This window comes from Homo sapiens, chromosome 9 (genome assembly GCF_000001405.40).
Source record: "Homo sapiens chromosome 9, GRCh38.p14 Primary Assembly".
Lineage (NCBI taxonomy): Eukaryota > Metazoa > Chordata > Mammalia > Primates > Hominidae > Homo > Homo sapiens.
The window spans coordinates 77,790,288-77,803,943 of NC_000009.12; the positions used below are offsets into that span (position 1 = coordinate 77,790,288).

The 13,656-nt window shown below is 37.1% G+C and overlaps 1 protein-coding gene across 3 annotated transcripts in view; it reads right to left on the reverse strand.

Annotated features, from left to right (window-relative positions):
- Nucleotides 1-13,656, reverse strand: part of GNAQ (G protein subunit alpha q) — a 315,715-nt gene that overhangs the window by 74,191 nt on the left and 227,868 nt on the right. For all 3 annotated transcript variants that reach the window (NM_002072.5, XM_047423239.1, XM_047423240.1), the window contains exons 4-5: nt 7,233-7,361; nt 4,176-4,305 (exon numbers count right to left, since the gene is read on the reverse strand). In NM_002072.5, the coding sequence (NP_002063.2) occupies nt 4,176-4,305; nt 7,233-7,361 (259 nt within the window). The remainder of the gene's footprint in view (nt 1-4,175; nt 4,306-7,232; nt 7,362-13,656) is intronic.

Genomic DNA, 13,656 nt, shown 5'->3' on the forward strand with positions numbered 1-13,656 from the left:
TAGTCAGGTTTTCCCCGCAAAGCTGAATGTTATCTGAAGAAAATTCCCAAAAGCTCACTCAACAATTTTTAGAGCAGAACAAAGTACATGTTTCACACTTTTAAAGAAAATGTTCAAATTTTGATTGCAGCTGAGTAACTTCAAAATGGCTTCATTTTAAAACCTACCAGAAGAGACGGATCCAAAGGAAATGCATATTTTAGACTAATTGTTTAAAGATAGTTCAAAATCAAATGAGCAATACAGGAACTCTAAATGACTGGTAAAGGATCTCTGGCTGGTCTACTACTACCAATTGGTGTAAGAAGAGCTTAGAGGTAGAGGAGAGTTATTTCAACTCCTTCATGAAAGGGCAGGATTTTCATTCTACTTCCACCCTCTTTGCTGCCTTATAGCTCCTCTTGCTTTTTCTTTAAGTTTGTCTCTAACATCTAGAAGACACTATGAGGGAAGGGAAAGAAAGCTGGTCTGGAAGGGCAGGGGACCTGGCCTTCAGTGACCTTGGCCACAGGCCTTCATCTCTTCATTCCTGTAACCTCATCGTTATGACGCACACCAGCAAACCTGATCTGTCCCCGCCACGGTGAGGTCAGCTGGTAGATTCTGATGAGTAGCAGCTTCAGCAAGTTTTGGGTATAAAGTGCTAAGGTATTATAAACGTCTATGCTTTCCTTTTATCAATTGAGCAACTTCAAAAATCAGGTTTGAAGGATGAATACATGTTTATGGAAACCAAGGTCAGGGAATCCACCTTGATCAAGGAGGGCCTAGGGTAGGGAGAACTATCTTGACGTTTTAATAAAATGATAACATAATTCCTCATGACCATTTCAAGATGATTAATAAATTCAAAGCTCACATTCAAAGAGGACATGGAGGAGAAAAAGGTCTCAGTCTTTGAGATTCTATAAAGAGCTTAGCCTGGAAGACAGTCATTGAGACAATGTCTGAGAAAACATCTTTGTAGTAGTGCTCAGATATTCATGAAACAGAAAATCAGAAAAATAAAGATTAAAAGGCAGTGTTTGGATACACACTGATAAACTAAAATATGTTATAAGCATGTCTTATTGTGTGCTTTGGGCTTTCAGGAGCACTGAAATAACATACCCATGAAAGGATTACAGCAGAATAGTGGATTCCATGCTGGTGTGTTATCACAGGGAAAATAAGACAGCAAAGGGAATACACACATCAATAAGACAGTAAAGGGAATACGCAAATCAACACAGCTCTACCACCCTGGGTATTCTAGCCACTATTTGATAATGTATTTCCTTCTTTGAAGGAAAAAAGAAATTCATTCCCCAAACAATAGAAAGGCTGAGAATCTAGGCAGACAAAAGCAGACCTACATAAAATTATGAAGATTTATAAGGTTTTAGAAATATTAAAAAGCAAAAGCAATAATCTAAAATGCTTCCCTTAGCTGCTTTTGTCTGTGGTCTGCAATGCATTTTCCACAGTTTCCTGGGATAGAAAGAAAAGCTGTCAGAATCCATTCCTAGGTTTTTCTCACAAATATATACCAAGGGAGGGAGGCACAACAAAGTCTGCTTTGGATTAAAGTTATGAACATCAGACTTCTAAACCAAGAACAAAATGTTTCTGGAGTTTATTTCAGTTTTGTCTCACCAAAACCAAAAAATCTGGGGAAACTAGAATTCTGTAGTTCTGAATTTTCTTAATGATTAAGGAAGCTGAGAGGCAATGACATTATCATACATTAGTACAACTGGGGAAAAAAAGGGGTAATGAGACTACATCCCAACATTAAAAAATATTTTTTTGACAGTACTTCCTAATTACAGACAGTGATAGCTGTGGCTAATATGGATGAAGGAATTAATGAACAGCACTTTTCTCATGATCCCATACTATCATCAGGCTTGACTAGAGGTCTCAGAAAGGAACACCGTACAAGTTGACTTTCATCTTATAGAATTACCTAGACTTTCAAAAGATTCACAAGTGATTAGGGAGTCCTAATGAAAAAATGATAGCTTTATTATTTTAATTTGTAATTATTTAAAAGTAGCATAAGACATCACCACAGGAATCAAAGGAACTGGGACAATATTTTTAGACGTTCTTAGTACCTGTACATTGAATGTCAAGTTACTGTGGGAACTTTAATTATGACACATGATAATAAAAACGATGCCATTTTATTCTAATTAACATAATATACTTTTATATAAAAATCTAGTCACTATTAGCTATGTCTGAGGAAAAATGGAATAAATGATCTGTAATGTTCAGATAACTGAAGAACCAGATTCAATTCGGTTGAACTGAATTAGCTGATGAGTTGCCAAAGGATTCTACTTTCTTTTCTATTTTGATAATTTTGAAGTGGTAAATTGATAAGTATTACATCATGACATATACTTCTTCATATATATATAATGCATTTATCTTGTGGAAAATGTGTATTGATAAACACTTGTCCTCCTCTAGCTATAATGTAAACATCAGAAATAAATTCACATTTGCTTCTTACATCTCTTGTGTAATTGATAAATGCAAATTTTATTTTACTGGATGGCAAATTAAAGAAGAGAAATGACAACCTACATAACAAAGGCTTACCTTTCCCCCTATGGCTTATTCTGACCAAAAGCATATCTTGTTTATAAGGTCTTCTAGGGCAGAGTTGATTTTTTTCCCCATTTTTGTGTCTTTTTAGATACTCTGGTACCCAGCATATAGTAGGGAAGCCCTCAAAATATTTTTTTGTCTTGACACAACATTCAAAAAAATCAGAAGTGTTAGAATAGATCTGCTCCCAAAATATGCAGTATGTTTAAAATACTACATCCAGGGATTATGTAACAAACAAGCACAGACATAAAGATATACAGATAAAGATATCATAGCTAAAATTCTGACAGTAACTGCCTTGTATCTTGGTAACTTACTGTCATATATTGTAGCATGCTTTTAGGCACTTTGCTTTAGAGTTATTGGGGGCAACTGATTGATAAACAAGCCTCATTCTTAAACAGAAGTTATTTGGTTAACTCCAAAGCCAATATACTTGTAACTCAGGAATGATTCCGAAATGCATGAACAGGTGACTCTCGGTTCTATATAGACATTGGTTCACGGAAACTTTATCAATCCTATACATAAAAGAAATACTATAGGAGCTTGGATATGTATTTTAATGGAGATATTAATACTGGCAGAAAAATATTTAAAAGAACCAGTCAGGAATTCTTGTGTACCTAAAAAATGTACTGTATTAAAAGCATAATATGCTAGATCCTATTTTAGTCAGCAAACGGGGATCTCTCACTTCCTTCTTTTTTGCTACCCTATTATTGGGATATTTAATATTTATTATTAACCTACCACACTGCAATCTCTGCCTCTAACAGGATATCAATGGTGTCTTCCCCGTTCCCCCAACACACACATACACATGCACACAACTACAGCTCAGAAGTACAGATTTCTACATCCCTTAATATATTCCATAATCGATTCATCGTCAGGTCTTTACCATCCTGAAAATCCACATTTACACCTATTAAGTTTCCCTGTAACAGGGAGGAGATAACAATACTGAAATTGTTCTCCAGACAGGCATATTAAGGATACTTCTTCAACTGCTCACTGCTTAATAGAGACAAAATTATGCAACAGCCTAGAGAATTCTATAAGAGCAGAAAGGCCGCATCACCAAGATATTCCATGGTTCATAATGAACTGATTTAGAGCCCAGCTGCGAAGTCATTCACATTTGCCAAGAGAGATTTTGAGTACTCTTTGGGACACACCCATCACACAAACAATGATTTAAACAAAATGAAAACAAAACAAAACAGGATGACTCACTCCAACACTCCCAGTTCTATCCTGTAGGAGGAAGACTATAAAATGATCTGATGATTAGCCTAGGATTTCCATGTTATTTTCATTTTCAGAACCTCTGCATAGTGTTAAAAAGTATCAAATAGGCTCTAATTAGATTTGAACACAAAGACCTGCTCACACATCTGACAGAAGAGCTTACCACAGGATTATTTTTGGTTATTTTAAAAGTCCTAAAATCAAATTTCAAGAAAGCAAAGAAGTAAGTTCACTCCATTCCCCACACCCTACTTTCTATCATTTACTTGTATCAGATAATAAAATGATAATCCATTGCCTGTCTAAAGAACACTTACCTCATTGTCTGACTCCACGAGAACTTGATCATATTCACTAAGCGCTACTAGAAACATGATAGAGGTGACATTTTCAAAGCAGTGTATCCATTTTCTTCTCTCTGACCTTTGGCCCCCTACATCGACCATTCTGCAAGGTTAACAATACTCATATTAATAACATATAAAGTAAAACTAAAAAGTCAACATAAATATAGCACTACTTACAAACTTAGGGAAAATATTCTCTTGAATGACGATGATCATCCAAGTCAATTCAATTAATACTTATTGAATAATTACTAATTTCTTATTACCTAATATTCAAAGTTAAAACATTCTGGGTAACACATCATGATGGTTTTAAGAAAGTTACCAGTGTGTACGAAAACTGTAACACTGTAAAAAACATCCTTATCTGTGCCAAGCAAAATGGTATTTTATTTAATGAAGCGCTGAAGAGTCCAAAACTGAATGAGTTTTGTGTTAAGCCCTACTGGCAAATACTGAACTTCAGTTTCTTTTCCTATAAAATCGGAAAAAAGATCCTCATGTATTTCTTATGGATGCTAGATATGACTACAAGTATACTTAAAATATGTGAGATGCTATACAATTCAATATGGGTGGTATGATGCTTCCACTAAATGCAGATACGACCCCACTCATCCTTTATCAGCAGGGTCGGCATGTTGGGCATTTTTTTCTTCCCAATATTGATAAGAATTTGGCACAGGTCCAGTCATGTCAGGTCACTTACTTGAAATAAAGTGTGAGTGAATGAAGATACTACAAGGTACAAGACGGAGGCCATCATGTGAACCATTTCAATCATTTGTTTTTAACACATCAATTCTGTGCTGAATTACTGCTCAGAAACCAACACTGACATCAATTAATTTGAGTGACAATGTATGTCTGAAAATATCTAGCAATGCTTGGCACTGAGTCAAAGTTTCTCCAAATTGTTGAATCCGTATCTTGAATGAAATGTATACAATGTTCACAGGAAAAAAATAGTCTCAGAGAATGAGCGGTTTAGGTACAAAAATTTGAAAGTAGGGCTCTTTAAACATTTGTTTAAAATTGCAGTTGCTCCTGGTGTTTTCCTGCCTCCTGACATTAAACCTAAACAAGAACTAAGATCTTCTAAGTCACTACTCGTAAGCCTAGTAAGGCACAGGAGAGAGATCTAAGGGGCAAAACAATGCATTCAGGGAGATCCACGTACTATGGACATCAAAGCCAGAATTCTTAGATCTTCGGAAGTATTAAAATGCTGGCTCTTCCCTAATGCCAAGGTGTGAATAATACGCTACTAATTTACGTGAAATCCTCATTCCATGAAACTCTGTCACACTGGGCCGTAAAAGATGCTTCTGATGGTGGTGGAAAATTATACTTCTAAGTCATTACTTTTACTGTAGTGGCAAAAAATGTACTTCAAAAGCCAGTGTACAAAACGTGGAAAAAACAACATGTAATTGTAATCTGGTTTCAGAATCCACTAATTGCGAAGCAATAAGGAGATGAAAATCCCCATGAAATGCTATGTTTTCTAAAAATATTTTGTAACATGGAGGAAGGAAATCTGGGTGTCTCAAATTAAAGATTTCTAAATACCATAGACTTAAAACGTAAGTAATATAGAATGCTGGAGCTACAAGGAACCCTGAGGATCATCTAATGCAATACAACCATTTTATAGATTAAAAAACTGAGGCTCAGAAATAGTTTCAAAATGCCACCTACTTTGTGGCAATATCTATTAGAACAATGTATGGCAGCCAGATTTGACCTCAGGTACAGAGGCCGATTAGAAGAAAACACAGTGTCACGGCAAGGAATGAAGGTGGGCCTGCTAATCAGAATCACTTGGCAGAGTGACACAGGAGATAATAACTTCTGCTTCATAACCAATATTGCACACATCCATCTTCAATGGGGTGGGCGCTCCTAGAAAATCAACTCTCCACACTCCAAGACACATTCTCATTTCTCAAAGCACCATGTAGTTTGTATTCTAACTAAAAGTACAACTGAGTGATTGCATAATAAGAGATTGAATGAAAGTACATCAGTATTGTTTATTTTTTCTCATCCTAAAAACAAAACAACAGAATGCTTCTGCTGAAGTATTATCCAGACAGAACACCAGCAGTGAGAGATGAGGTAATAAATTTTCATTCTATTTTGCTAGGTAAATACAGACTAGGTTAATTAACCCATTTTCAAAATCATGTATTTCAAAATTTTTCAAGCAACATATTTTATGAATACAAAACATCACATATTTTTCTTGCTACTGAAAAATTTTGCATTGGTACCAGAGGACGTGGGGAAAACACCAGCATGAAAACTTCTGACACTACTTAATTTCTGTGATTGACAGCATCATATGATCATTCATAGCTTACATAATTCTAAAAACATATCCATTGTCCTTACAGTTAAAATGATTGCCCAAAAAATTACAGTTAAGACCAATGGTTTACTAACCGATTTTACTCAACCACAAGCAAAACTAAGATTTTATTGATTTCTTAGTGATTTAAATTGAAATGCCAAATGTTCTAGTACAAGTACATCTCTCTCTTTTGTTTTTTTTTGAGATGGAGTCTCGCTTCGTAACCCAGGCTGGAGTGCAGTGGCGCAATCTCGTCTCATTGCAACCTTCGCCTCCTGGGTTCAAGTGATTCTCTCACCTCAGCCTCCCAAGCAGCTGGGATTACAGGTGCCCGCCAGCATGCCCGGCTAATTTTTGTATTTTTAGTAAAGAAGGGGTTTCACCATGTTGGCCTGGCTGTTCTCAAACTCCTGACTTCAGGTAATCCATCCACCTTATCCTCCCAAAGTGCTGGGATAACAGGCGTGAGCCACCGCGCCCGGCCTCCAGTACATCTTTCTGTTATTTCCTCCCTCAGGGATATGTCATTTTATTTGTATAACTAATGATAATAATTGGTATAAAGCCTATCTTGTTTTGAAGCCTACACATGATTCCAGTATTTATAGAGTTTACCAAATGTACTCAAGGCATAAAAGCTGGGAAATAGGTTTCATGGACTCAGTTACTACCTGAAAATGACACTTTGTAAGTCAAAGGGGTATTCGATGATCCCTGTGGTGGGGACTCGAACTCTAAGCACATCTTGTTGCGTAGGCAGGTAGGCAGGGTCAGCTACGCGGTCCAAGTCATTAAGATAGCTAGAGGAGGGAAGACACAATGAGAATGTCAGTGACACCATCACACCAAAGCTGTCTACGGAAAGGGAAGGACAAAAATGAGTCCTAACAGAGAAGTAAAGAAGAGAAAGAAAAATATCAGAAAGTGGTAGAGGAGTCTGTGGAAAAGAAAGATAAAGTCAACCTTCCATTACTGGAAGGTTATCCATCTATGGATTACATACACACCATAGTTCTCATTTCTTCTCTTATTATCAATTAGAACTCATACTCCCCAGAGGCAAGGGGTGGGAGAAAAAGAAATTCAAATTAGTTTCCTATTCTCTACTTGTTTAGTAGGTTTGGTTGTCAAAGCAGGAGTTTAAAACAAATAGTGTTTAAGACAACAGAGAGTTGCACATAAGGTCAGAATGCCTTTTTTTTCTTTTTCTTTTTTCTCTTTTTTGCAGAACATCAGAGTCTTCCTGGAATGAATTTCACTATTCTCCTAAGAGAAGACAGCAGGCTACAGTGTCCTAAATTCTGTCCAGAGCCTAAGTCATTCATGATTAATGTGAAGCCATGACATTTCTAGTTACTGCAGTAATAATGTGTCTAAGGTCAGATATTCCCAATGTTTGGAGTCACCACACCTTAACTTTATATTTATCTAGTTATATGATACTTGATACTTTTCCCTTCCCTTAAAAGAATTTTTCTTTTGAAATAACTTTAGACTCACAAGAAGTTGCAAAAATATTACAGAACATTTCCCTGTACCCTTTACCCAGCTTCCCCAAACAATAACATCTTACATAATCATAGTACATGATCAAAACCAGGGAAATGACACTGACACAAATACTATTAACAAAACTACAGACCTTACTGAATTTTATCCGTTGTTATATACTCATATGCTATATATTGTATGTATGTATACAGTCATCCCTCAGTATCTGTGAGCGACTGGATCCAGGACCTCCTGCACATACCAAAATCCCTGGATGCTCAAGTCCTCCATATAAAATGGAACAGTATTTGCATATAATGTATGCATAGTCCTCTCCTATAGTTTAAATCAACCCTAGGTTACTTAACAATGTAAATGCTATGTGAATAGCTGTTATACTGTAGTGTGTAGGGAATAATGACAAGAAAAGTCTGTACATGTTCAGTAAAGATACAATTTTTCTCTGAATATTTTTGATCCATAAGTTGTTGAGTTCACAAATGCAGAACCCATAGATACAGAGGGCTGACTGTATTATGGGGGGGTATCTAGTTCTATGAGATTTTATATGTAGAGATTTGTGTAATAACACCACAATCAGGACACAGAATTGTTCTATCACTACCTGTGTTATCCCTGGCAGTCACACATATGTTCTTCATCAATGTAATTCTGCCATGTCAAGAATCTTTTATTCCATTCATGTTTCATTTTCTCAAAGTGTAAAAAATAATCTGAAATGTTGAGAATGACATAATATGATAGAATTGAGTGGTATCTTCATGATTTCAAAGAGTAACTGTGTTCTCCTTTGTCCTGGAAAGGATGGGGCACAGACATGGCTTCAAAACACACAACTACAAAGTATATGCACAAAGTAACTAACTTATGAGCCAGATTAAAGAAAAGGTGGGACCCTTAATAGAAATGGAAGGGGTTAGATCTTCAACTCTGTATACCCACAAACAAGAGGTGAGTTCTAAGATACATAACAAGGAATGCCTTGTGCATAGCATGTTATAATTGAACAATAACAAATACTCAGTGGACATGACCTACCCAGGGTAGGGACTCTGACACACTCATCTTTATTTCTGCCTTAGTACCTAAAAGAATGCCAGACAAATAGAACTTAATGAATATGTGTTGGATGGATTGATGGATTTCCTATGCTGAGATTTAGTTTTAGCATTATTTAAATAGCATTCTTACCAGTGGTATTTCTGTATGAATGATACCCTTAAATTTGAAACTGAATGTAAAAAAAATGTTAAATCTACAAGATTCCTGGAATCATAAAGTAGGAGGATTAAATCTGAGTTTAACAAAGAGTTAAGTCTGACTTTAACAAAGAAATAAAATTACTGCTTCTTTGGAGGTGTGTTATCAATTCTTTAAGACAAAAAAAGTATCAGCCCAGAAATTCCTATTGCATATCAATTAATTAGTATTCCAGGGGCCTTATCCCTGATACATTGATGATTCTCTAGCTGGCAATCAGCTCTCTGTTGAGTAACAGGAACCAGCCTGATAGCTCCAATTATTATAAAACTGGCTGGAAGACAAATAGAGGGAGGCTGGGAGAATACTGGTGTGAAACACAGAAAGGAAACGTAAAAATGGACTAGACCCAGAATTTTAGTAAATATCTTGCCATGATCACGGAGTCCTCTGATAAGAGTTAGACGAGCCCATGTTCTGGGAAGGGATCTGTATTTCACTCTACTGATAAACCAGCTCATCACATCATAAATAAAAAATAGGAACACTTTTACACTGTTGGTGGGACTGTAAACTAGTTCAACCATTGTGGAAGTCAGTGTGGCGATTCCTCAGGGATCTAGAACTAGAAATACCATTTGACCCAGCCATCCCATTACTGGGTATATACCCAAAGGACTATAAATCATGCTGCTATAAAGACACATGCACACGTATGTTTATTGCGGCATTATTCACAATAGCGAAGACTTGGAACCAACCCAAATGTCCAACAATGATAGACTGGATTAAGAAAATGTGGCACATATACACCATGGAATACTATGCACCCATAAAAAATGATGAGTTCATGTCCTTTGTAGGGACATGGATGAAATTGGAAATCATCATTCTCAGTAAACTATCGCAAGAACAAAAAACCAAACACCGCATATTCTCACTCATAGGTGGGAATTCAACAATGAGAACACATGGACACAGGAAGGGGAACATCACACTCTGGGGACTGCTGTGGGGGGAGGGATAGCATTGGGAGATACACCTAATGCTAGATGACGAGTTAGTGGGTGCAGCGCACCAGCATGGCACATGTATACATATGTAACTAACCTGCACATTGTGCACATGTACCCTAAAACTTAAAGTATAATAATAAATAAATTTAAAAAAGAAAAAATAAATAAATCAAGTAATTCAAAACAACAACAACAAAAATCAGATAGCTACTCTGTATGGATGGGGTTTTCTAATTTATCAGCTTCTTGATTTGAAAAACCTGAATGTACATTTCGAAATCCACAAGTTCACCATTTAACTACTGTATACAAAAACTTATTTCAGAGGAATCAAATAACTTTAAATTTCCACTGGCAAGGCTGCTCAGAAATATATTGCCTGATAAACCATCTCTACTCGCTTAATGCCGTACACAGAGGTCAGAACAGAGGGCTGTTAATTCTTGTAATGGAAGGTGCTGTGGTGTTCCTGAGGTAAAGGGAAAGTGTGGTTTTCTGTTTTCTGGAGATGAACCTAACAGATTACTCATTGCCACTCCATAGTAAAGCACAGATGAGTGTTAGCACAGGAGAATTTAAAGAACCAGCACATGAAGTGGGAAATTACCTGTCACATTGCTTGGATAAGATGGAATCAGGCACATACCTGCCACTAGAAAACTTTCCACTTACAAGGGGTTAGAGGATACCCTAAAAAAATTGTCAGTGGTATCACTCCTAAGTTCAGGGTACTGAAATGAATATCCAAGACACTCATACTTGCAAGAATACTTTTTCCTCTTCATCTTTTCAATGGCAGTATAGATCACAGAGAATGACAACAACAGCATAACAACAAATAACACTGAGCACCTGATGCCTGCCAGGCTCTGTTCTGTCTGTTCATTGCCCAGGTATCAACACAGTTCACAGCAATGAAATGGCCATTAAAGACGCTTCATAAATTTCTGGTTAACTTAAAAGGAAGCTGCAGTTTTTGCTTGCCATTCTTTTTGCTTTGCCTCAGTTGAATAATAGAGAGAAAGGCTCACTTTGCTTGGGGTGAAAGAGTTAAATTAATCTAGCTTAACAAAAGACAAGACTAAGAGGAACTGTATCTAGCTCTGCTAGTTCCAACATACATCATCTAGAACCAAAAACCAAACCAAACAAAAACCCAAAACAAGGCAAAGAAAAACAACAAAACCTCCAACTAAACAAAAGACATACAAACTATTTGCTCCTAGAGTAAAATCTGGGAAGCTACCCAGGATTGAAGATATGTTACAGACAATTTGTGAAGCAGGTAAAATTTATAGACCACGAACGACATTTTTGGCTGGGCGCAGTGGCTCACACCTATAATCCTAGCACTTTGGGAAGCCCAGATCACTTGAGGCCAGGAGTTTGAGACCAGCCTGGACAACATGGTGAAACCCCATCTCTACTAAAAATACAAAAATTAACTGGGTGTGGTGATGCATACCTGAAATGTCAGCTACATCGGAGGCTTAGGCATGAGAATCGCTTGAACCTGGCAGGTAGAGGTTGCAGTGAGCCACCATTGCACCACTGCACTCCAGCCTGGGCAACAGAGTGAGACTCTGTCTCAAAAAAACAAAAACAAAACAAAAAACAAAAAAACCCTGCATTTTTCATTGCCAAGAAGGGATCAAAGAGCTGCTGCCCGCATAACCCCCAATCCCATGCAACCCCCCTCACTCTGGGCTCACAGGACTCAGAGGAGGGATTCAGCACACTCTGTATTTCACATCTGCCAGGGAAAAAGGGAACTTTGTTCCCCTAGAAATGGAGTTCTAGCATGGTAAGAGTAGAACATCATCATTTGATGGTCCTCGTCACATACTGAGAAAAGGTAATAAAATAATCTCTTAACTGAATTGTACTTTCCATTGAAGCATTTTCTATTCTAAAAAAAAAATTGGTGGAATATGAGGGACAGGTTCATGTTAAATTATTCCATTCATTCGACCTTTTAAAAAAAAAACCACACCGAGGTCTGAACAAATTTATACTGTAAATTCAGAGTTAATTATAGCCATAATTTGTTTTGTAGGAATGATTCTGAGTGGCTGTTGAGGTCATTCTCAAGGGTGTTGCCATGGTGCCAGGCACAGGTACATTTCCAAGGCAATGTATGTGTAACAAGTATCTGGTAGTGACTCTCTCCTGATGTCAGGGAGAGGAAGCTCCCATGTTTTACATAAGGCTTGTTAAGTGTCTAGGAGACAAGCTATTCATGTTAGAAAATGGGAGATTTAGCTGCTTAAACCCACCTTACTCCAATCCCTCCATGGGGATTTAATGACTTTTCACTGTGCTGAGACATTATAAATTATTAATTTATAATTTTTTTTAAAAAAAGAAACCCCGAGCTCAATATTCTTCCACATGTTTGCCCAGTTAGCTATGGCCCTCACACTCGGTGGTCAGGGCCCACAAGTGCCTTTGTCCACGGCTATATCAACAACACTTAGCCAAGGGCCTGGAGCACAGCAGGTGCTCAGCATGGACCCAAATTAAAACTATTTTATGGGAAGTGCTGTAGTGGTTAGAAAGGCAAAAACACAGGAGAGGGGAGGTTGTTAGCTATCCATCCTTACGAAATTACTTCTCTCGGCTATTACTGGCCTGCATCATGTAATAACCAAGTTCTGAATAAAAATGTCTCTGACAAAGACAACACAGAAAGAGAAAGCATTATTTGTTTAACTTCATTTAGTAGATTTGCTTCCTGCTATTCTTTAGGTCCTGGCTAGAGAATGACAAAATGTTTATGTCCATTTTATACCTGTTTCAAGCTTTCAGGCCTTAGCATTCTGTCTAACACAGTGCAAACTGAGGAGGTGGGACTTTATCAACAAGACATTTCTGACACAATCTTCTTGATGGAAAAAAGGTTTTTGATGGTTTTCTGTGAAAAGTGAGGGAACACAGACACTTGCATATTAATGTTTCAGTGATTCCTTTCTGACCATAAGCAAAATGCAGAGTCATCTGGAATTAAACAACATATTTTGGCCATGACATTATGGTAGATGCTACAGATAGGAAGATTCATTGGATATGATCCTTACCTGCAAGGAGTTTATCAATTTGTGGGGAAATAAGGGTTACATAAAAACAAGAATGGTGAGATTTATAGAGATGAAATGAACCTTTGTATATTTTGGATACAGTCACTTTCTGGGAACCTGTTCGAACAATCTCTAGCCCTTGGTGATAATCCTCAAAACATTCTTCTGTGTAGTATGGCTGCACTGCATGAAAGACTTAACAGAAATCATGCCCATTAGTTTACACCTTGTAACAGATAAATTCTTTACACGCTGAATGTCAGGATAATCTCTGGCTGAAGAAAAATAAA